The sequence below is a fragment of the Homo sapiens genome, chromosome 2 (assembly GCF_000001405.40).
Source record: "Homo sapiens chromosome 2, GRCh38.p14 Primary Assembly".
Lineage (NCBI taxonomy): Eukaryota > Metazoa > Chordata > Mammalia > Primates > Hominidae > Homo > Homo sapiens.
The window spans coordinates 19,115,720-19,138,008 of NC_000002.12; positions in this window are offsets into that span (position 1 = coordinate 19,115,720).

Here is a 22,289-nt window from a genome sequence, read left to right on the forward strand (position 1 = left end):
ATAACCTGACTAAGAGTTGGTGCTCAGAAAATGCTGAATAAAATTATAAAAGAACAAGTTTAATGTTTTGGGATACTGCGCACAGGCTTGTGAGGTGTCTACCAACATAACGTGATTTCATAGATGCAAGGAAAAATATCTGATATTCCCAAATGCTCATTCACGGCAGTTGGGCTAATTTCTTAAAGTTCTACTCATTCATTTATTCATGTGTATTAGTCCATTTTCATGCTGCTGATAAAGACATACCCAAGACTAGGCAATTTACAGAAGAAAGAGGTTTAATGGACTTACAGTTCCACATGGCTGGAGAAACCTCACATTCATGGCAGAAGGTAAGGAGGAGTCAAGTCACATCTTACTTGGATGGTAGCAGGCAAGGAGAGAGTTTGTGCAGGAAAACTCCTCTTTATAAAACCGTCAGATCCTGTGAGACTTATTCACTATCACGAGAACAGCATGGGAAGGACCCACTGCCATGATTCAGTTACCTCCCACTGGGTCCTTCCAACAACACGTGAGGATTCAAGATAAGATTTGGGTGGGGACAGAGCTAAACCATATCATTCCACCCCTGGCCCCTCCAAATCTCATGTCCTCACACTTCAAAACCAATCATGCCTTCCCAACAGTCCCCCTTTCTCCCTATGAGACTGTAAAATCAAAGCAAGTAAGTTACTTCCTAGATACAGTGGGGGTACAGGCATTGGGAAAATACATCTGTTCCAAATGGGAGAAATTGGCCAAAACAAAGGGGCTGCAGGCCTCAAGCAAGTCTGAAATCCAGCAGGGCAGTCAAATCTTAAAGCTCCAAAATGATCTCCTTTGATTCCAGGTCTCAAATCCAGGCCACACTGATGCAAGAGGTGGGTTCTCATGGTCTTGGGCAGCTCCACTCCTGTGGCTTTGCAGAGTACAGCCTTCCTCCCAGCTGCCTTCATGGTCTGGCATTGAGTGTCTGCAGCTTTTCCAGGCACACAGTGCAAGCTGTTGGTGGATATACCATTCCAGGATCTGGGGAACAGTAGCCCTTTTCTCACAGCTCCATTAGGCGGTACTTCAGCAGCAACTGTATGTGGGGGCTCCAACCCCACATTTCCCTTCTGCACTGTCCTAGCAGTGGTTTTCCATGAGAGCGCTGCCTCTGCAGCAACCTCCTGCCTGGATATCCAGGTGTTTGTTTCCATACATCTTCTGAAATCTAGGCAGAGATTCCCAAACGTCAGTTCTTTGCACCTAAAGGCTCCACACCACATGGAAGCTGCCAAGGCTTGGGGCTTGCACTCTCTGAAGCCACAGCCTTAACTGTGCCTTGGCCCTTTTAGCTGAGGCTGGAGCAGCTGGGACACAAGGCACCAAGTCCCTAGGCTGCACACAGCATGGGGCACCTGCGCCTGCCCCCTGCTGTCCTGCCCATGAAACCATTTTTTCCTCCTAGGTCTCTGGGTCTGTGATGGGAAGGGCTGCCATGAAGACTTCTGACAGGCCTTGCAGACATTTTCCCCAATGTCTTGAGGATTAACGTTTGGCTTCTCGTTACTTATGCAAATTTCTGTAGCAGTCTTGAATTTCACCTCAGAAAATGAGATTTTCATCTCTATCACATTATCAGGCTGCAAATTTTCCAAACTTTTATACTCTGCTTCCCTTATAAAATTGAATGCCTTTAACAGCACGTAAGTCACATCTTGAATGCTTTGCTCTTAGAAATTTCTCCCACCCAATACCCTAAATCATCTCTCTCAAGTTCAAAATTCCACAAATCTCTAGGGCAGGGGCAAAATGCTGCCAGTCTCTTTGCTAAAACATAACAAGAGTCACCTTTGCTCCAGTTTCCAACAAGTTTCTCATCTCCATTTGAGGCCACCTCAGCCTGGATTTCATTGTCTATATCATCATCAGCATTTCAGTTAAAGCCAATCAACAAGTCTCTAGGGAGTTCCAAACTTTACTACATTTACCTGTCTTCTGATCCCTTCAAACTGTTCCAACCTCTGCTTATTACCCAGATCCAATGTCACTTCCACATTTTTGGGTATCTTTTCAGCAGTGCCCCACTCCACTGGTACTGATTTAGTGTATTAGTCTGTTTTCATGATGCTGATGAAGACATACCCAAGAATGGCCAATTTACAAAAGGAAGAGGTTTAATGGACTTACAGTTCCATGTGGCTGGGGAGGCCTCACAATCATGGTGGAAGGCAAGGAGGAGCAAGTCACATCTTACATGGGTGGCAGCAGGGGAACACCTCTTTATAAAACCATCAGATTTTGAGAGACTTATTCACTATCACAAGAACAGCATGGAAAGGACCCACCATCATGATTCAATTACCTCCCACTAGTCCCTCCCACAACACATGGGAATTCAAGATGAGATTTGGGTGGGGACACAGCCAAACCATATCATCATGCAAAGGCCCAGAACTGTGTTGGAGTCCAGGACTATAAAACTGAATCAAACAGGACCGCTACTCTACAACAGCCTTCTTCTGGGCTGATGGTTTTAAAACCCTATTAAGTTCAGACAATATATACACAGGAGGTATGCAATGGTTGATTGTCTGTGTATCCCCAAACTCATATGTTGAAATCCTCATCCACAAGGTAATGGTATTAAGAGCTAGGGCCTTTAGAAGGTGATTATATCATGAGAGCAAGCCCTCATAAATGGAACCAGTGCCCTTATAAGAGAAGCCCAAGGGAGTGCATTCATCCCTGCTACTATGTGAGGAAACAGCAAGAAGGTGTCCCTCAGAAAGCTGGCCCTCACCACAGGCTGAATCTGCTGGCCCCTCGAACCTAGATTTCCAACCTTCAGAACTGTGAGAAATACATTTATATTGTTTTTTAAGCCATCAAGTTTATGGTATTTTACTATAGCAACCTGCATGAACCAAGACAAGGTGCTTCTCTAACTGTCCTTCAAGCCTATGTAACATGGATGGAGCATGTCAAATACATGTTGGCTGGGGGCCTGAGGGAGAAGCAGGAAGATCCGAAGGGCCCTGGAATCTGAGGAGGGCTGGGGAAATGATGAGCACCAGGAAGAAAAAGACACAGAGGGAGGATATCAAGTTAGGAAGAGTCTGCCCAAGACACATCTTTAAAGGAGCTGGCCAAAAGAGAAGTCTTATTAATAACCAGACTCAGTATGAAAAGGATCTGAAAATAATCATTCTCTAAAAGAAAGAGCCCATCTTTGAGTTAAGTAGACCTGGTTTTGAATCTCATTCTTTCACTTAATAGCTATGAAAATACGGACAAATCCTCAGTCTCTGATCTTCACTTTCCTCATCTGTACAATGCAGATAGCCTCCAAGTGTTTTTTTGTGATGATTAAGTAAAATATAATATCAACCACTGACATTGTATGTGCTTAATAAATGTTGTGCTTTCCTCCTCTCCTGCTTAGGTACAAAGCTATTACTGTGTTTGGATGCATTTCTAGTCCAATGGCTCTGTAAGTGTCAGAAAAACATCTATGGATATTTTTTCAGAAATCTGGTCACATACAAATGAGAAAAGCAGGGGCTGCATGTGAAGCAGACACTGTATGCTTGGGGCAGGACCTGGGACGGACTTGGGTCTGCAGTATATAAGGCTGGCCTCTCCCAGAAATGCCCTCTCTAAAACTGGGACCCAGCAGAGACATGGAGGGATTCCCTTTAGGATAAGCCCGGCCCCTCCTTGCAGATGAAACTTCTGAATGCACTGTCCTTGGCAGTTCCAGGCACAGGGAGCACTGGATCATGGGACAGCACAGGCCCCCTGACTCCAGCTCCTGAAATGTGGCAGCCAGAAGCTGGTCCCCCTTCTATTGCAGAGTCTGAGCTGACACTGTGGACAGGAACATGGGTGGGGAGGTGTGGGTGGGCTATGCTTCCTTCAAACATGCAACTTCAAAGTCTTGGAGGATGTTGCTTGGCAGGGAAGAGAATCAGGGGCAACTGGAACGGTGATGGAATTTCCAATTATAAAAGGTCCCATTCAGAGCTGCATGCCCTGTTGCACAACAAGGGAACAAGGAGACATTTGATGGCATTAAAAGGCCTTGAGCTCAAAACAAAGAGACACAACATTCAAAGAGACACAACTTTCTCTGCTTTGTCTTCTGAGCCTTGAGCCCTGTCTGGTGTGATGTTAGGTTATAAAAATAAGCAACAGCTCATCCCACTCCGCCTTGACAGAAGGCTTGCTTCTGAACACAGACCTGAAGGCAGTGCACTCTGGGCTGGGTTTCCCCAAAAGCTGAAGCATACATTTAATTGGGATATTGGAGGAGCTGGATTAGATGCCCAGCTGTCCACTGTAGAAACACAAACTCTCTGAGACACATCTCCCTAATCTGATATCCAACCAATGACCAAATTCCTAATGACTCTTGCACCAGCCCCACCTTCATCCCCATTGCCATTGCCCACCTGGCAGCTACTGCTGTTCCGAAGAGGCCTGAGGGGCACAGTTACTAAGATTATGTTTGAAAATATTTCATAGGAGTCCAAAATCACAATGCCATCCTAAAACAAATGTTTATTAACCAGCTATTCCATCAGGCTGGTTGAGAAAGAGCGTGTTATACATACATCTCATGATTTATTCTTCAGAGCAAACTTATCTGGAAGAGGGAACAGAAACTCAAAGAAGTTGTCTAAGGTCCAGTACCAGTATTGTCAGAGCAGCGAATTGTCATCCACCAGATATCATTGTATTCTTCTGTTTCAGCTCCTCTCATACAGCGTTTGCCTATGAGTATAGTGTTTGTCTCACTTTATGAGTCCTCTTCACTCGGTGGTGATCATGTGGAGGACAGAATCGTGGAGGACAGAATCATGGCAGATAGTGCTTGAAACCCCTAGAGTAACCCCAAAAGATCTGGGCACAGAGCTTTTGAAAACTTGATTTTAAAAAGAATTTAATATTTGTACTAAATATATACATATTGATCAGTATCTGAATATGTTAATTTCTACATGCACCATTTGCCCAATATTTCATTTCTGATTTAGAAATTTTAGAAAGCACAATATGTGTGCATCTTTAGAAGTATAATTGTAGTCAGCACAATGTAAATTTTTGAAGAGTAAAAACATTTATACTTCAGGAACACAGTATCCCTGGGCAGAGACAAAAGGTACTTACATATATGCCAACTGACAAATGGAAAAATAAGGTCACCAAAGAAACTGTTACAATGGGAATCTTGTGTTTCTGATGTACATGTTCAGTTGGAGACATGAAATTTTCAAGAATCTCCGTCTACAGGAATGATGCCAGCTCTTCTCTCCTGCACATCCTCTCTGTGGATTAATCATCAGGCCCTGGTAACCACAATGTGACCACTATGTGAGGCGCCTTCTTCCCCAAAACAATGAAGTTCTGTCCGATTGTCTTTGGGAGGCATTTACAGCTCGAGGACATTGCTCTGTTTCATTGAAAGTACTCAGCGCTAGCGTCTTGGGACATGGCTGGAAGGGGTGTTGAGCCCGATTGGGTAATAACAGATGTTTCAGTGGGACACTGAGACATTCATACTGCAGGGCACCCAGCAGGGACACATTTTGAAAGGTGAGGAAAAGAAGAGGGAGCTTCACAGAGCATAGTGTGAGCATGCAGACCTATTACTCTGATACAGCCATGAGTGTCACAATCCCAAGTCCCCAGTGGGGTCTTCCCTATATAAAGGCTACATGAGGGAAAGAAGTCCAACTGCTAGATCTTCAACTCTGTTTCAATAACTGAGGAGATAAAATAGTTTCTGTTCATCTGGCTGCATAGGGTTCTGGAATGCAGTAGCTCTGCCCGAGGGGTCACTGCAGAGCACACAGAGGAACATTGTCATTCCCAGAAGAATGTGGCAGCCGCCCTGCACAGTAGGCTTGCCCCCCTCCACCCCCATATCTAAGAGCAGCAACCAAGAGTTCTTAAAATAATAAACAGCTGGCTGTGGGCTCGCTACACAAACTCCACAATTCCGGTACAATTCGACTTGACTGAACAGGTCTTAGACCACAGCACAGGAAACTCCAAGGTCCAAAGGCCTCCCACCCTTGCCCACCATGCCTGGGCACCCTTTAGAATGATTGTCCCAAAGCTTTGTGTCTGGGAGAGTCTCTTCTAGGAAGCAGCCAAGTGCAGAGGAATTCAAAGGCCTCTGTCTTGCTCTCTGTCTTCAGAGTATGGAACTACAAAGGTGGCCGGGGCTCTGAGTCTCTGCAGACCCTCAGAGCTGAAAGCAGAGACAACATCAGGGGAAGATGAGACAGAGCAGGAATCTAGATTCGGCTTATAGCAAAGACCCCTCTCCTGAACTTCTAGAGTGATACTGGGGCAAGCTGACAGTTACAGACTTATCTGCAGTCAGAAAAGCGAAAACAACAGAAGATGGGGAATCAAAGAAGCTGAAATTTGTTTCTGGCTCTGTCATCTGCAGATCATGTCACTCTGGATAGATTATTTAACTTTTCTGTGCCTCAGTTTTTCCATCTATAAAATGGGGATAATAGCAAACTTGTCCTGGGTGCCATGCCCATAGTAGATAACTAATAAATATGAATTATTTAATTAATTAGTGATTGAATGACTAGTACCTACCTCAAAGTTGCTTTGAGGATTAACTGAGGTTAATCTGTGACACTTGTTTCATAAATGGTAAGTCGTGCAGCATTCAGAAAGCACTGCAAAGAAACTGACCTCACTAAGAAGCCCTGAGAAGGGTTTCACAAAATGTGGGGTTTCACAAAATGAGAGCTGCTGAACATTCATTAAATGATATATTAACAGGTATTCAGCAGGGGAAAGTTTCCATGCAACAATATTCAAAACATTGTGAGATAAATTTAGATGGGTTTGGTCCTATATGACTTCTCAGGGTGTGTTGTAAATTTCCAAAAGAAATAAGATGCAGCTTTTTCTAAGCCCACTTGACTGTTGAATCCTTTTCACAAGGTTCTCAAGAAGTGGTGATACATTAGAAGACCCGGCTGGGGAAATGTACTTGTCTGTTCCCGCATTGCTCTAAAGAAATACCTGAGACTGGATAATTTATAAAGAAAAGAGGTTTAATTGGCACATGGTTCTGAAGGCTGTACAGAAAGCATGGCTGGGGAGGCCTTAGGAAACTTACAATCATGGTGGAAGGCGAAGGGAAAGCAGGCACATCTTACATGGCCAGGGCAAGAGTAAGAGAGAGAAGGGGAGAGGGGTCACACACTTTTAAACAACCAGATCTCATGAGAACTCTATTAGGAGAACAGCACCAAAGGAGGAAATTTGTCCCCATGATCCAGTCACCTCCCACCAGGCCTTACCTCCAACACTGGGGATTACAATTTGACATGATATTTGGGCGGGGACACAGAATCAAACCATATCAGGAAATGACTGTTCTAGCCAACCCTTGGGAAGAAGGAGGTCCCACAGAAGCCCCACTATGAAATAACCACCTTGTTTTGGGGTTGTGTATATATTTGCCTCCTTTTCTTTGCCAGACATTCTCCCAAGGCTACAGCCAGTGCAGTGTATTATAGGCAATCAGCATGATATGCTTAAGCCTAAATTGTCTTTCATTTGTAAAATGGAAACAAATATTGAGAAAGAAGACACATCCTCCAGATCTTTGAGCTCCCATCCCACCAATATCTAGGGTGCCTTCCACTGGTGGCAGACTGTGCACACAACTTTAGCACCTAAGTCAGAGCCACATCCACAGAGGTTAAAGTGAAGGACCTGGGTAACAATAACAGCCCTACTTCTACGAGATGGAAGAGCTAAGGTGAATGAGCCCTATTATTTTCTTGGGGTCCGTGACACTGGGAGAGCCAGCAAAAGTCCATGCTGGTGTCATGGATATACCCTGCAGAGGAACGTAGAAGAAGCCAGAAAAAAAAAAAAGGCATCAGGACTGTCTTCTCCAAAATAACCCACTCTGCTAGGTCAATCAACTGGTTCCAAGAACCAGCAGCTGGTGATAGATGTTTGTTCATGCTTATCTTCATATATAGGAACAGACATTTGCAATTAGCCCATGGCAGATTTTTGGAGCCATTCATGAACTGCCAAGTGATATCTGGCATTGGCATTTCCTCAGCCTTCTGGAAATAAAGCTTCCCTTTTGGGGTGGTGACCTGATTTTTCTGGGGATCAGAGAGGATGTTAGCAAACTGGTTTATCACCTCAGACAGAGAGATTTTGTCCATGGAGCTGTAACAACTCAGTGACAAGTTCAAGGACGCCCCTTCCTGAGGAGCTCAAGGCATAAGCCTTGCCTTGGATCAGCCATCCTGAGCCTGTCCCCAAAGTCCTGTCACCCCACAGGCAATCCACTTGGATTCAAAGGCTTCAAGGTCATCTCAAGGACTTGCTCTCTTGCGATGCAAAAAGTGAAAGACAAGAATAATACCCCAGAAGAAATGCATGCATTCTTCTTTAATGCCAGCTAGAAAGCTCTAATACACCTGGGTTTGAAAACAGCTTTCCATTACTCTCTGACATATTCATTCAAAACTAATGACTCAAAGCTCTCCTGCACTAGATGTTTGTGATCAGAAGATGAATAAGACCTGGTTCGTGCCTACAAGGACTCTGCAGCATGCTGGGAGAGATGAACGTGCAAGTCAGTACAGTCCACAGTGGTGAGTAACTTCATAGAAAAAGCACAACCCAGAGAAACTATCTGAATCTAGTCTGAGGGACGCATTGCTACAACACGTCCTTAGCTAAGGCTCGAGGAGGAAAGAAGTTGGCCAAGCAAAGAAAGGGCATGAGGAGAGATGGTTTCCAGGCAAAAGGAAAAAGAAAGAAGGCAGGTCCTTGTCCCTTTTGCTTGTTTCTACCTGTATTAGTATTCTATTGCTGCCATAGGAAACTATCACAAATTTGGTGGCTTAAAGCAACACAAATTCATCTTTGAGTTCCAGAGATCAGAAGTCTGACAGGGGTCTCACGGGGATACCATCAAAGTGCCAGCTGGGCTGCATTCCTTCTGGAGGTTCTAGTGGAGAATTCATTTCCTTGGCTGGTGATCTTCACTCAGCAATCGAAACCCTCTGACCTTTCTTTCTGCAGTTACTTCTCCTTCTCTGACTCTCATTCACCTGCCTCCCTCTTCCACTTATGAGGACTCTTGTGATTACATTGGACCCCCCAGATAATCCAGGGTTATCTCCCCATCTCGAGATCCTTAACTTAATTGCACCTGCAAATTCTCTTTGGCTATATTCACAGACTCTGGGGATTAGGACATGCACAACTTTGTAGAGGAGGTGAAGGGATTATTCTGAATACCACACTTTCTATGGCCCTAAATTGTTCCACCTACAAAATGGGTTGGATCTGATGGCCTCCAAAAACCTGTTCAGCTCTGCCAGTGGGTAGAAAAGTGTTACCCAGAGACTAGAGTCTGGCAGGTCAAGTCTGGAGACAGCAACATGACTCCATGCCAGATGTGTCTTAACAATTCAAGTGGCCTTTGATTTCCGGTCTTTGGTACAAGACAGCAAACCCCAGGATATGCCCAGCCATGCATACTTACGCCCATGATTCTGTAGCCTTCTCACTGGTAGAGACTCCGGGAAGTTGCCTTCTCCGCATCTGGAGCAAAAAGAAGTCCAAAGAAGATTCTCTTCCTTCATTACCTTGAAAGCCCTGTTCTAAAATCCCCCAGGTCTCTAGAATGAAAAAAAAAAAAAAAACTTTTTAAATATCCCAATCGAATTCATTTTTAACTGCTCCCCCACCAAATTCACTTAAGATTTCATCAAAACCCTATTCAAATCGTTACAGTAAATGTGATAGTAAATTAAAAGCTTGTAGCACAAAATTAAGCCAAGTCAACAACCATTTTCACTGAAAAGATGGCTAATTCCCATTGGTAAAGGGGGAGAATTAAATGAGTAGTGGAAAATAACATTGCCTGATTAGGAAAAAATAAAAATAAAACCTAAAATGAGAGTCTGGGACTTTGAGCTCAAGTTTTAATTTGGCCCCTATATTATAAGGTCACTGTGAATAAGCCCCTCTCTTTTTGTGTTCTTGGTTTTTCTTCTCCTGTTAAAGAGAGAGAGAGTGAAAGAGAGAGAGAGAGAGAAAGGAATTAAGTTGAGGCCCTTTAGGCTTAGCATTCCAAAACTAGGAGGAGGGAGGGGAGAATATTTCTCTTAAGAGTGATTTAGGAATAGGTTTTTCTTTCTGAGTCTGCAAGTCAGAAGAAAACAAGTGATGTGAACTCCCCAGCAAACTTCCGAGAAGTACTGTCTCCATTCGCACAGGTCTAAGATGCTATCAGTACAGAACTTTCCACCTTTGCTAACATTCCTTATCTTCTGTCATCTGCACAGTGACTGTGAAAAATGTTCTCAGTGGGTGTTTCTGATTCATTTTCGTGATGGTACCATGATGTCTGAAGAAGTTAAAGTTTAAACTCTTTCCCTTCCCATTGGTCTTTACAACTCTGTGGATCCTGCCAGTAACTGGGCCAATTCCTAAAGCCTGAGGTTTCCCAGAAAGGCAGATCTGAGCAGGGCAAGTGCTGTATTGCTAAGGAGAAAAGTCATTGGTTTTTAAATGGTGCTCTTAAAATGGTGCTCTTATAAGGCGGCAACAATGCTACCCAGCCTGTCGATGTCTCCATATCCAGCTGGTGTTATGAAGATCTCTATCTAGGAATAAACTTCCTCAAAGATAAAACAACAGGCTTGAGCTTTGGAGACAATAGTAATATTGTCTTGAGCATTTGAGACACTACTCCGAAAGGCACTTAGAGAACACAGTGTATTCTTCTCGTTAATTCCAATACAATTTATGTATTGTTCAGGAACTAGCCCTGAGCAAAGTTAGAGAAGAGTCAGTATTCGGGGTCCTTGAAAACATTAAAGTCAACCTGCAATCCTCAGGGGCTAAAGAGAATTTTTTTTAGTGTGACATATTTTATAACGTTGTGACTGCCACACAGGCAGGGATTCAGGGTGCTTCCCAACTTTCAGTCTCAGCTTCAAACACACCTGAAGTATATGCAGGTGTGCATGTGTGTAGCATGTGTGTGCACGAGTGCTGGCCTCTTTATAAGTTTGCATGTGTTTGTGTTGGCGTGTGTCTGTGTACAAAGTGTGCCTGGCTGTGAGCCTGGCTTTGTGGTGGGCAGGGTAGGGACTTGTTTTGAGTGCAGAGGAAGTGAATGTCAGAAACGGAGCATACTGGGATACTAGGATACACATGCCTGCACAGGTGTGAGTGTGTAGAGAGATGCATGCACATCAGCTGTGTCGAGTGTGTTTTCATGTATGGAGAAATGGGGTTTTATGGATACGTATGACTGTAGAGAGGCCTACAGAATTACCAGTCTTTATGCTCAACAGAAGACAATGCTGGTCCAACCCAAACCCCATCTGCTCTCAGGCTCCCTCATTTATTGCAGAGTTTTTTCTGAACACTTACTAAGTGTGAAGTCTTTTGTTAGATACTGGAAAAGAGTACAGAAATAGGAGATAAGATTTATACTCTTAAAGAGGTCACCACACAGTTTGAAAGACCAGATACACACACTTGGACAGTAGATCATCCCCCAACAGAAAACAGCCTGGTCAAGGCAACATTGTCTGAACAAAGCTGCCCAGATACCTGTTACCTTATTTCAGGATATCTCAACAAAACTTATAGCAGCAACAAAAGGAATATTTTCACCATGCTGAGAGAATTCTCTGATATCAAATTGTTCAGTTAATATAGACTCTGTCATGTAAGACAAACTGTAAATAACATATTTACCAGTTATATGTATGAGATGAACTTTGGATTTATCCTAATTAAGGAACTGAAAAGAATGTTGTAAAGATTAAATAAATTCTAATGATGATGATAACCATGTTGACAATGATAGTTCAGTAAGATTAGTCTAGATATTTATTACATCTTCAAATGTGCTGGGCATTGGATTAAGTGAGTGCAAAGATTTGCATGATGAGTTTGGATGGTGTCTGTGTAAATAGAACACTCTGAAAAGAAATGCGAAGAAGTCTATAAGGAGACAGAGAGGAGTGCTGGCAGAGAAAGAGGCAGGTGTGAGGACCTGGCTCACTTCCCACAGGACCTGTGCTTCCCAGGGAGCCCTCCAGTGACCCCGTGCTTTGCCAAGTGCCCCAGCACAGTGCTGTTAATTGAGTAAGGCTGAAAAGGAGGCCACTCCTGGGAGACTGCTTTTGTATGAGTGGTGGTCATCCTTGCGGCTAAGGTGGTTATTCAACCCCTAGTCCATTCTACTCCCAGCTCACTGCTTTAGCAAAACCTGGCCTGAAACACAAACCCCCCTATGTCTTATAAATAACTTCATATGGTGTCACTTTCAAAGTCAGCACAGATTTTAAGTTTGCCACAGCATTTCCATGAGTATCTACACTAATAACCAATCTCCTCAAATTGGTAGTTCTCTGAGGTTACCCAAAACTTTCATATTCACAGTTTAATTCATCTGAACAATCAACCTTTGAGGTAGGAAGAATTAGGCAACCCAAGATTATTCTAGGGCAGATCAACCCATGTGAAAAGAGTAAAATTAATATTTATTCATTAAACATCTACACATTGGAAGACACCTGTTGCTTTAAACTGGCCGATAACCAACAGGTGACAGTCATTGTATCTTCTGCAGGACAGGAGGACCCAATCCCTTGATGGTGGAGCAGGTCGATTCTGGAGCAGACTGACACTCTGAGCTGCCTTGCTCAGGTGGAGGGGAGGGATTGGCCACCCAGCTAAGGTGATGGCTGTGGGTTCTATACCAAGAACCAGGGCCACGCGAGGTCCTAGTTTAATATTCCACTGAAGGAGACATGACTGAGAATTGAACTGCAATAACAATAAACTTTGGTTATTTTCACCAAGAAATTTACATATTGTTAATGAGTATAATTATTAATAAAATCACTATGCTTATTTTTATATTACTTCTTATTTAAATCAGTTTAAAAGAGTTTTGTTTAACTTCTGTTGTAATTATTTTTTTAGTAGTTCAAGTTTTTCCTGAACTCCTAGGGATAGGTTTCTAAGTATGTGTGTGGATGTTTATTGACCTAGACTATTGATCAAAAAAATAAATCTAAGATGAATCCAGGGTGTCACAGGTAAATTAAGCTACACTTACGAGGTTGTTTGCTATGCTGTGTGAGTCCCTGAACTGAAGGTATTGCTGCTTTTTATAGATTACAGTTGCTTGGTTTCTAGATTGTTGAAATTGTGATATGCAAATAAATTAAATCAATTTAATGCTCATTCCTTTGACTCTCTAGACACTTTAAAAAAATGTAACACTAGATGTTAAGGGTTCTCACTACAAAATAATAAGTATGTCAGGTAATATATATATTAATTGGCTGGATTTAGCCATTTCATAGTATATACATATTTCACAACATTATGTTGTACGTGATAAATAAATATAAATGTGTTAATTTTAAAAAATATAAATTAACTTTTGAAAAGGTAACACTAGCTGATTTCTTAGGGAATGTCATATTGGGGAAGATAATGTCTAAGTCACTTTTATTCCCACCCACTAAATATTAATATAGTTCCCTTTCTTAAGTTGTTATATCTGGACTTTTTTCTGCTTCACAGTTTTCTCACTGTCTTCCTGGCACTGCCACTTCTAAACTTGTGCTCTGTCTTGGCCAACAAAGGCCAAGAGTATCCTCAAAACACAAATCGCTTGAGGAGTTTAGACTTGATTTCCTCCTCTGCAGAAAAAGGCCGCTGGATTTTCTTGCAACAAAATATGGCATGAAAAAGGAGAAATTTAACTCTGTTACTCTGTGTTGCTGTGTGTAGGAAGAGAACATTATCTATAGAAAAAACCTCTAAATAATAACTGTGTTTGAGAGGAGAGTGGTATGTAGAAAGCACTTTGGTTAAGAGTCAGCAGATAAAAATAATAGTCTTCTAGAACTTTCTCTGGCACAGATTTTTCCTCTGTTAAAGAAAGTGTTCTAAACATCCTTCTAGGCTTGACATGCTATGCTGTTCCCATTCTATTCTCAATTTGTAGTATGTGATAAAAGACTTCTCTGAATCATGGTGTCTTCAATTGTCTAGTTTCAAAGACGAGACAAGTGGGAACTCTTTGCTAAAGAAGAAGCATCTAATGCAAACAGAGATCTTACTGAGTTTCTCTGCATCTTAGGGTATTTCATAATAAAGTAGATGAGAGAACCTGAGCAGTGTAGGAAGGGCTGTCATTGAGTCCACAATCACAGGATCACATTTAAAAACATGTCCACTCTCTACCTCAACCCCTCCCAAATCAATCATCAAAACAAGGCAATATGTATACAACTTTTAAAACTTTGACATAATAAATGATGCCCATAACTTTAAAGGATCATGTATATTCCATTTGGGACATTAGAAAATATTGGGATAAATCTTCTCCTTATTTTGTAGGTTTTAAATATCCTTCAGGGAGAAGTTCTTGTTTGCCTTTGTGAAGCACTGTTGAGGCTTATTCATGGCTCAGAGATGAGGAGGAACGTCTCCATCTCATCAGATGATTTATGATGCTGACTTGAACATTTCCAAATGAGATATTTTTAAAAAATTTTTGCCAGCTTATTTTTTTCATCCCTCTCCTGTTAGCAACTGAGATTCTGAATTCAGTGAATATATGTTAGACACTGTTTACTTGAACTTTCTAAAACAAACTGTTCATCTTGGGTGTAACAGAAATGCTCTCTTTTTATATTACTGTTCCCATGTCCCTCTGCAGAGACTCGCCAACACAAACACCTACTTACAGGGCTGCACTCCACCACTGTAAGCTCTTTGGTGACTCTGCCATTGGATTTCAGTCGATAAATTTGCATTTAGCGCTTAATTTGTTCAGTATGCCTTACTAATTTGGCAATATTTATTTTGGCCCAGAAAGCAGAAGGCAGCTAAGTTCTCTTATTTTGTTTGGGGTGTGTGTGTGTGTGTGTGTGTGTGTGTGTGTGTGTGTATGCATGCGTGTGTGTGTGTGTTTTCATTTTGATAAAAGGATTTGAGATATGAAAAAGTTACAATGTCATGGACAGGACTGGTTTCCTGTTTATGAGTCACCATAAATATGAAAGGTGCTGGGTGACATTTCTCAGCTGAGGGAGCCCATGCAGCCCTGTGTGGAAAGCAAACCCTCGAGCAGGGTGGTCTTGAGGTGACTTGCTGACCTTGTATAATGTCAAGAGGAATTATTGTTAAAGTACAGTAGCCAGATACCACACACACACACACACACACACACACACACACACACACACAAACATAACCCTAATGATTTTTCTCACTCTTGTTACTATAGAGATGAAAGTATTTACTGTAATATCTTTGTGTTCTCAAAATCAACTTTCATCTCTGTGTAAAATGTGGCAGGAAGTACCTCCATGTTGTGTAAAATGTGGCAGGAAGTACATTCATGTCTGCCACTTTTTTGTTTGCTCGTTTAGTCTGTGTGTCTTTTCATAAGGCTCCCTCACAGAAACAAGTCCTCCTACACAGCGTCACACCCAGAACATTTTTCTATTAGATATGATACTGGAGCTCTGGGGCCCCTTCTCTTTCCTTCAGAGAAATGCTGCAGTTCACTCTGCCCTGCCCAGGTCATGAGGTATTTCTGTTAAAGCAGTCTCTGAGAAGACCAGAGCTACCAGACTCTGACCCTCTTAAGACTGGTGTGCTAGCAAAGGGTTAGCAAAGAGTGGTCCCGCTGTTTTTGTTTTTCTCTTGCTTTCTGGGACATAGTGAGCAAATAGAAGTTCCCCTAGAGAGGAAGCTGTTCTCACTCAAAGGCAAACAGCTTTGATGCCTGAGATTGTGTGAAAGTTGCAGAAGAGATGAGCCTATGGCATCAGACTATGTCCATCTAACTCAGGTCTTGTTTCTTCCAACTCCCAGCTAACCAGCATTTAGTGGTTTGTCTGGGCTATTGATACTGTACTTTTTGGAAAAAAAAAATTGGCTTGAATCATGGGCAGCAGTACTATCGAGGCCATTACTTTCCTCACCCAGATAAGATATTGCCCATAAAATTTTCCTTAAGATTTTTTTTGTTGTTTGCTTGTTTCTCCATTCTGACTCCACCATCTAAAAAACCTGGTTATTCTGACAACCTGGGGCACAATAGGATGATGTGGTCCTAAACTATTAGAGCTAGCAGCAACCTCAAAAATTGCCTCTGCACCAAAATTCAAAGAAAGGAAGTAATTTGCCCAAGATCACAAAGTTAGCCACGAGCCAAGCTGGGATTCAGATTCTAGATTTACCCACATGTTCAGTAGCATTCCCTTTATACCATCCTGCCTCACATGACCTTATAAACAAACACTGCAAAGAAGTAGAGAGGCGCCACAGACTTAGCCTCAGGCAAACAACCTCACGCACTCTCTCTCATTTAGTTTTGGTTCTTACATATTATCCAGGAGCATCGAGAAAAGAGAAGTTTACTAGGAGTAGCCAGAGCCAGTGGCATCCACAGTTACCAGGGAGGATGGGCCGTTTGCTCCCCAATGATCTTGGGAGGCCCATCTTTGAGTACATGTGGTCTAGCAGTCCTATGGACTAGGTGCTCCAAGAACAAGGGTAGCTGCTTTTGTGAATGTGATAAATGTGTGTCATCGAATCCTGCATGGACCAGGGAGAAATATCAATAGCCTACATTCTGAAGCACAATCAACTTGTATTATGGACATCAGTGCTGTCAAAGCCATTACTTCTCATCCTGATAAAACATTACCCACGAAATTTTGAGGACCCTTTCCAGATCATTGAACTCCTACTCAACTTCCTGCACATGCCATGCATGGTTTTGTTTTCAGTACAGCTCCACACATTTGCCAAGCAATTCCACCTGCCCAGGACACCTTCTCCAGCCTTCTCCATCTAGTCGGCTCACACACAAGCTCCAGAGGTCGGTCTCCGTGCAACCATGGCTTGTGATGCTTTTGCTAACTTCCCATGCAGAAAGTGCTTTCTGCTATGCTTCCCTCAATCTTTGTACTTTTATTTAATATCTCATGCATGCTTTATTTTATTTATTCAAGTAGTACATATTTGAATGCCATCTGTATGCCAGACATCATGCAAGCCATTTTTTCTAGAATATTATTACAATGTTTGTCTGTAAAAGCTATCTTTTTTATAAGCTGTAAGTCTTATAAGGCAGGGAGCTCTGTCATTTTTATCTTAAAATCTCAAATGCTCAAGGAAGGAGGCATGATTTTCTTGCTCAGAAATTATATTTACAACAAACAATTTAATACTTGGCACCCTATATATTCAACCCAAACTGATCATTGTTTACCTAGCTGCTAGATAACTAGACATGTTAAGCCTAAAGAGTTATGTTTTCAAGTACTAGCCTTGGTCAAAGGAAGTATTGACTGTTTCATGATGTGCTCTAGGGAAAGACTACTGTCTTAATAAAAATGCTTACACTGCTAATATGCTAATAAAATAAAATAAAGTATGATTTTTCACTGACACTAATGTTCTATGAGTGGTAACAATCAGTATCAATGATCAATATATTTAGGAATCATGTCAAAAATATTATCAACTTTTAGAAGAACACATAGCGGAAAATTTTGGGATGTTGTCAAAGCTGAACAAAGTGGCTCACATGTATCGAGTTCAATGAGTGCTGCCCACCCTGCGTGTGAACAAAGACTACTCTGGGGACAGCTAAAAAAATCAACAGGGTGTTACTATCATTCAGCTACTCAGTTACAAAGGCTCTTGCAGAGGTGAGGCTGAAAAACAACAAAGATACCCAAAAGGAGCTCTAGGCCATGCAATCCCCAGCCAACACTAATTCACTCATATCTATACCAAGCACATGTTAAAGGGCCAGGCCATTTAAGTCTTTAAGCCAGTTTCAGGATGTCCTCAAAAACTAGACATTTTACCCATGGGTCATAGACTGACATCTAGGCATTTGGAGTAGGATTTATGTTAGGATAGTAAGCATAAATAGAAGTGTGCCAGGCAAACTGGTATGTACGGTTGCCCCTTATACATTAATTTAGACTTTATTTTTTTAAAAAGGTTTTAAGCATAGTGGTGAAATAATGTGATTTACAGTTTTAAGAGCTCACTTTGACTGCTGTATGGAGGATGGATTTGAAGCCAGGGAACCAGAATGCAGGGAAAGCACTGAGGAGACTATTACAGTAATCCAGGTAAGAAATTGGTAATATTGTAGACTAGGATGACTTCAGCAGTGAAGAGATTCTATAGGCAAATGGGGAAAGCAGAGATATAAACTTATAAACATATATAATTTATAATTATAAATTATAATGACACCTTAAGTGTCATTATAATTGAATGAAAGCCTTGCCTCATCATGGACACTTTATAAACAGTTATCTATTTATCCATTTGTTTATAAATAATATCCATTACTAATTCAACAAATATTTGAACAGCACTATGGAACAGGAACTATCCTGGATACTAGGAACACAATGTTAACCTAAAACACATGTTTCTTCCCAATCTTCACACCCAATCATAGGCAGTATAGTATAGCTGAATAAGAAAAGAGGAGATATAATTAAAGATTCACACACGCACCTGCTCACAAATGTGTGTGTGTGTGTGTGTGTAACAAAAGCTTACTATGGGAAGACGGGAAGGAGGAAAGGAAGGAAGGAGAGAGGAAGAATTGACGACAAATAAGTGAAGGACTATAAGATGTTGGGGGTCAGGTATTATATGAAGAGATGACTGAAGAGGATCCTGCAGGATGCTTTAGAGTTATTGGAGAATGGAATTGGTGAAGCAACAACCTTTCTATGCCCAAGAGTAGAGTATCATTATCTGATGTATCTGTGAAATAGGAAGGAATTGATTCTCCCTAAGTTCTTAGAGAACTGTGTAGACAAATATATATATATATGTATGTATATATATATTTGTGAGATAAAATATATATATATTTGTGAGATAAAATGCAAGTGTCTTAAATGGCACTAATTTCTCTGTCTTAAATTTCACTGATTTGACTACACTACTTTCATGAATGTCAAGATATTAATATAAACATTGTTTCAGACACATTAAAACCTGTGCAATTTGTAAGGACATAGAAGATTTGAGGTCACAGTAAGTTTGATCAAATAGACATTTATGAAACACTGAACACGGTATATATATAAAATGTAGGCTTTTCAAGCACACGTCTATGGCAGGCAGAATTCTAAGAGGGCCTCCAAGAGCCCAAAACCTGGTGTACATACACCCAGTTATTCAATCAAACACTAATCTTGGTACTGCTGTAAAATGATTTTGCAGATGTAATTAAGGCGCCAAATCAGTTGACCTTAAAATAGATAAATTATCCAAGTGGGCTTGACCCAGCTCCATGAGCCCTTTAAATCTGGGTCTAGAGGTCAGAAACAGGACAATCCAGAGATTCAAAGTATGAAGATGATTTGATACAAAAGAAATTTTCTGTTGCTGGCTTTAAAGATGGATGGGGTCATGAGGCTCTTCATGCATATGGCCTCTAGGAGCTAAGAGTGATCTCCAGCTGATAGCTGGCAGATGTAGCTAGGAACCTCAGTCCTACACCCACAAAGAACTGAACTGTACCAACAGGAATGAGCTTGGAAGCAGATTATTTCCCAGAGCCTCCAGACAAGATCAGCTGATACTACAATTCCTGCACTGTGAGACCATGAGCAGAGAACTCAGCTGCTCTGTGCCAGTTTTCTGAACTATAGAACTATATGAGCTAATAAATGGGTGTCATTTTAGGTTATGAAGTTTGGGATGATTTGTTATGCAGCAATAGAAAACTAATACAGTATTAATCAATAAGGAATGTCAATAAATACCAAATAATTTATAAGGCACAAACCATTGTCTGTAACTAAAATTTGATAAAATTAAAAGTGATAAACTATGCTTCCCCAAAATCTCATACATTTGGAATTTCAAAAAAACAAAAAAGCAATTCTAAATAGTGTGTGGTTTGAAGATCAAATTTTAATGGAAACTACAAATACTTGGAAATAAATGACAAACTGATATGTAAATCACAGATGAAAAAACTTAATAACATATATAAATCAATTTTCCATAAATAATTCTGTTGATTCAATATGATTTCTTTAATATGCCCCATGAGGTTCTTGTGAAAAAAGCAAGTTGAAAGTTGACCCTAATATTTATATAGAAGAGTATTCTTCAGGTTCGTATTATTAAAAATAAGTTGTGATAAACAGTCTTGTGCACATAAATTTAGAAACTGTTGTGAGAAAGTCCGAAGACAAATGACAAATGAGAAAATTTTTTTGAAACACATACAATTAAGGACTAACATAGAGGACTCTAATAAATCAGTTACAAAGTCAAAAAATACAATAGAAAATTGAGGAAGAATTGTGAGCAGGAAGTTTATAAGAAAAAAATTGAACTGGAAAATTTATGAAAGATGTCCAACTTCATTTATAACTGACAGAACACAAATTAGAATTGCAAGATGCAATCAATTTACCCAACATTAAGCTCTTCTGTTTGCATTTACTGGAAAAATCTTTGCCCATCTTACTATTCTGATCTATTCTTCTGTCATTTTGTTTCAAGATTTACCCTTATAAAGAGCAGACATTTGTTTTACTAATATTATTTTTGTTCCCCAAAGGAGGCTGTATTGTAATAAGAATGTTAAACTCATTTGTCTTTATTTAACAATTAATTTGTGTTATTCTTCTGTCACCTTTTTTTCTGTGTGTGTACTTTATATTTGGGATGTATTTTTCATATTTCTTTTACTTTTTTCAAGTTGGAGGTCTTTGCTTTTATATCTCCCCAAACTTTAATAGGCACACATATGGTTTTAATTCTTTTAATGATTACTTTTAAGATTTTCAAAAATATTCTTAAACATATATCTATCAGTCTAAGAAAGTCAAGACAAAACATGGAGCTATAATTGAAAAAGCATTAACTAGGACTAGAATAATTATTTCAATTTAAATACAGCCTTTGTGCTGGTAGCCATGTGCAGGCTCTGGGTCTATTTCTTCTATTTACCTTGACAAATTGTTTTGTGGCCCAATTGTAATACAAGAACAAGGCCTCAAATATTATTATTGCTGCCAGTTTTAAATGATAGCAAAATGCCAGGCTATGAATACTCTATGTATTACCTCATTTAATTCTTACAGCATCCTTCGAAAATGGGTATTATTATTCTCATTTGACAGTTCCGTAAACTGAGGTTCACGAAAGGTAAATGACTTGTGAAAGTCACATAACTAGTAAAGATCAGAATGAGGCCAGGCACAGTGGCTCACACCAATAATCCCAGCACTTTGGGAGGCCAAGGTAGGTGAATCACTTGAGGTCAGGAATTCGAGACCAGCCTGGCCAACAAGGTGAAACCCCATCTCCACAAAAAAAAAAAAAAAAAAAAAAAATTAGCTGCGTCTGATGGCAGGTTCCTGTAATCCCAGCTACTTGGGAGGTTAAGGCACGAGAACTGCTTGAACCTGGGAGACAGAGGTTGCAGTGAACTGAGATGGTGCCACTGCACTCAAGCCTGGGCAACTGCGTGAGACTCCGTCTCAAAAAAGAAAGTAGCATAATGAGACTCAAACTCAATTTTTTCTGACCTCAGATCAATCTTCTTATCCCCTAAGGAAAAAGAAAATACTCCTTTGCTAAGTTTTCTAAGCTCTGAGTCAAACTTACAAGCATGTCTTTGAAAAGGCATCATTTTATGTGTATACTCAATACATTGCTGTTATTATTATTGCTGTCAACTTTGATTCTCCCTGCATGTAAAATGTTTAACATACTTTTACTTACTCCTCCTACTCCTTCTCAACATCCTTCTCCATCACTACACCCAGGCCACAGCTCAGCCCTCCCCCTCCTGGTTGCTTCAAACACTAACCCCTGTGAAGCAGAGGGGTCTTGAGCTGTGATGAGGGTTTGATTATTCTGGATTGATGGGTAAATAGTCTTCCTCCCTGCTTTAGTGGGTGCAGGTTTTCAGTTTCCCTAGAAACATCACAGAAGCAGGCCTCAGATGATGTTCTTCTATACAGGCTCATGGTCTTGCAGTTGCACAAGTGCCTCCAGGTTCTGGATAAAATTTAGATGTTAGTACTAAATGTTAGTAGATGTTTGAATTATCGTCGTCTGTGTCTCCATGGGAATTTTGGAAGAAATTTGAAAGGTCCAATTTGATCTTGATTCTCAGATGCTTGGCATTAAAAAAACAAATCCCAGCCAAGTCTATTGAGTCAGCTCAAGGA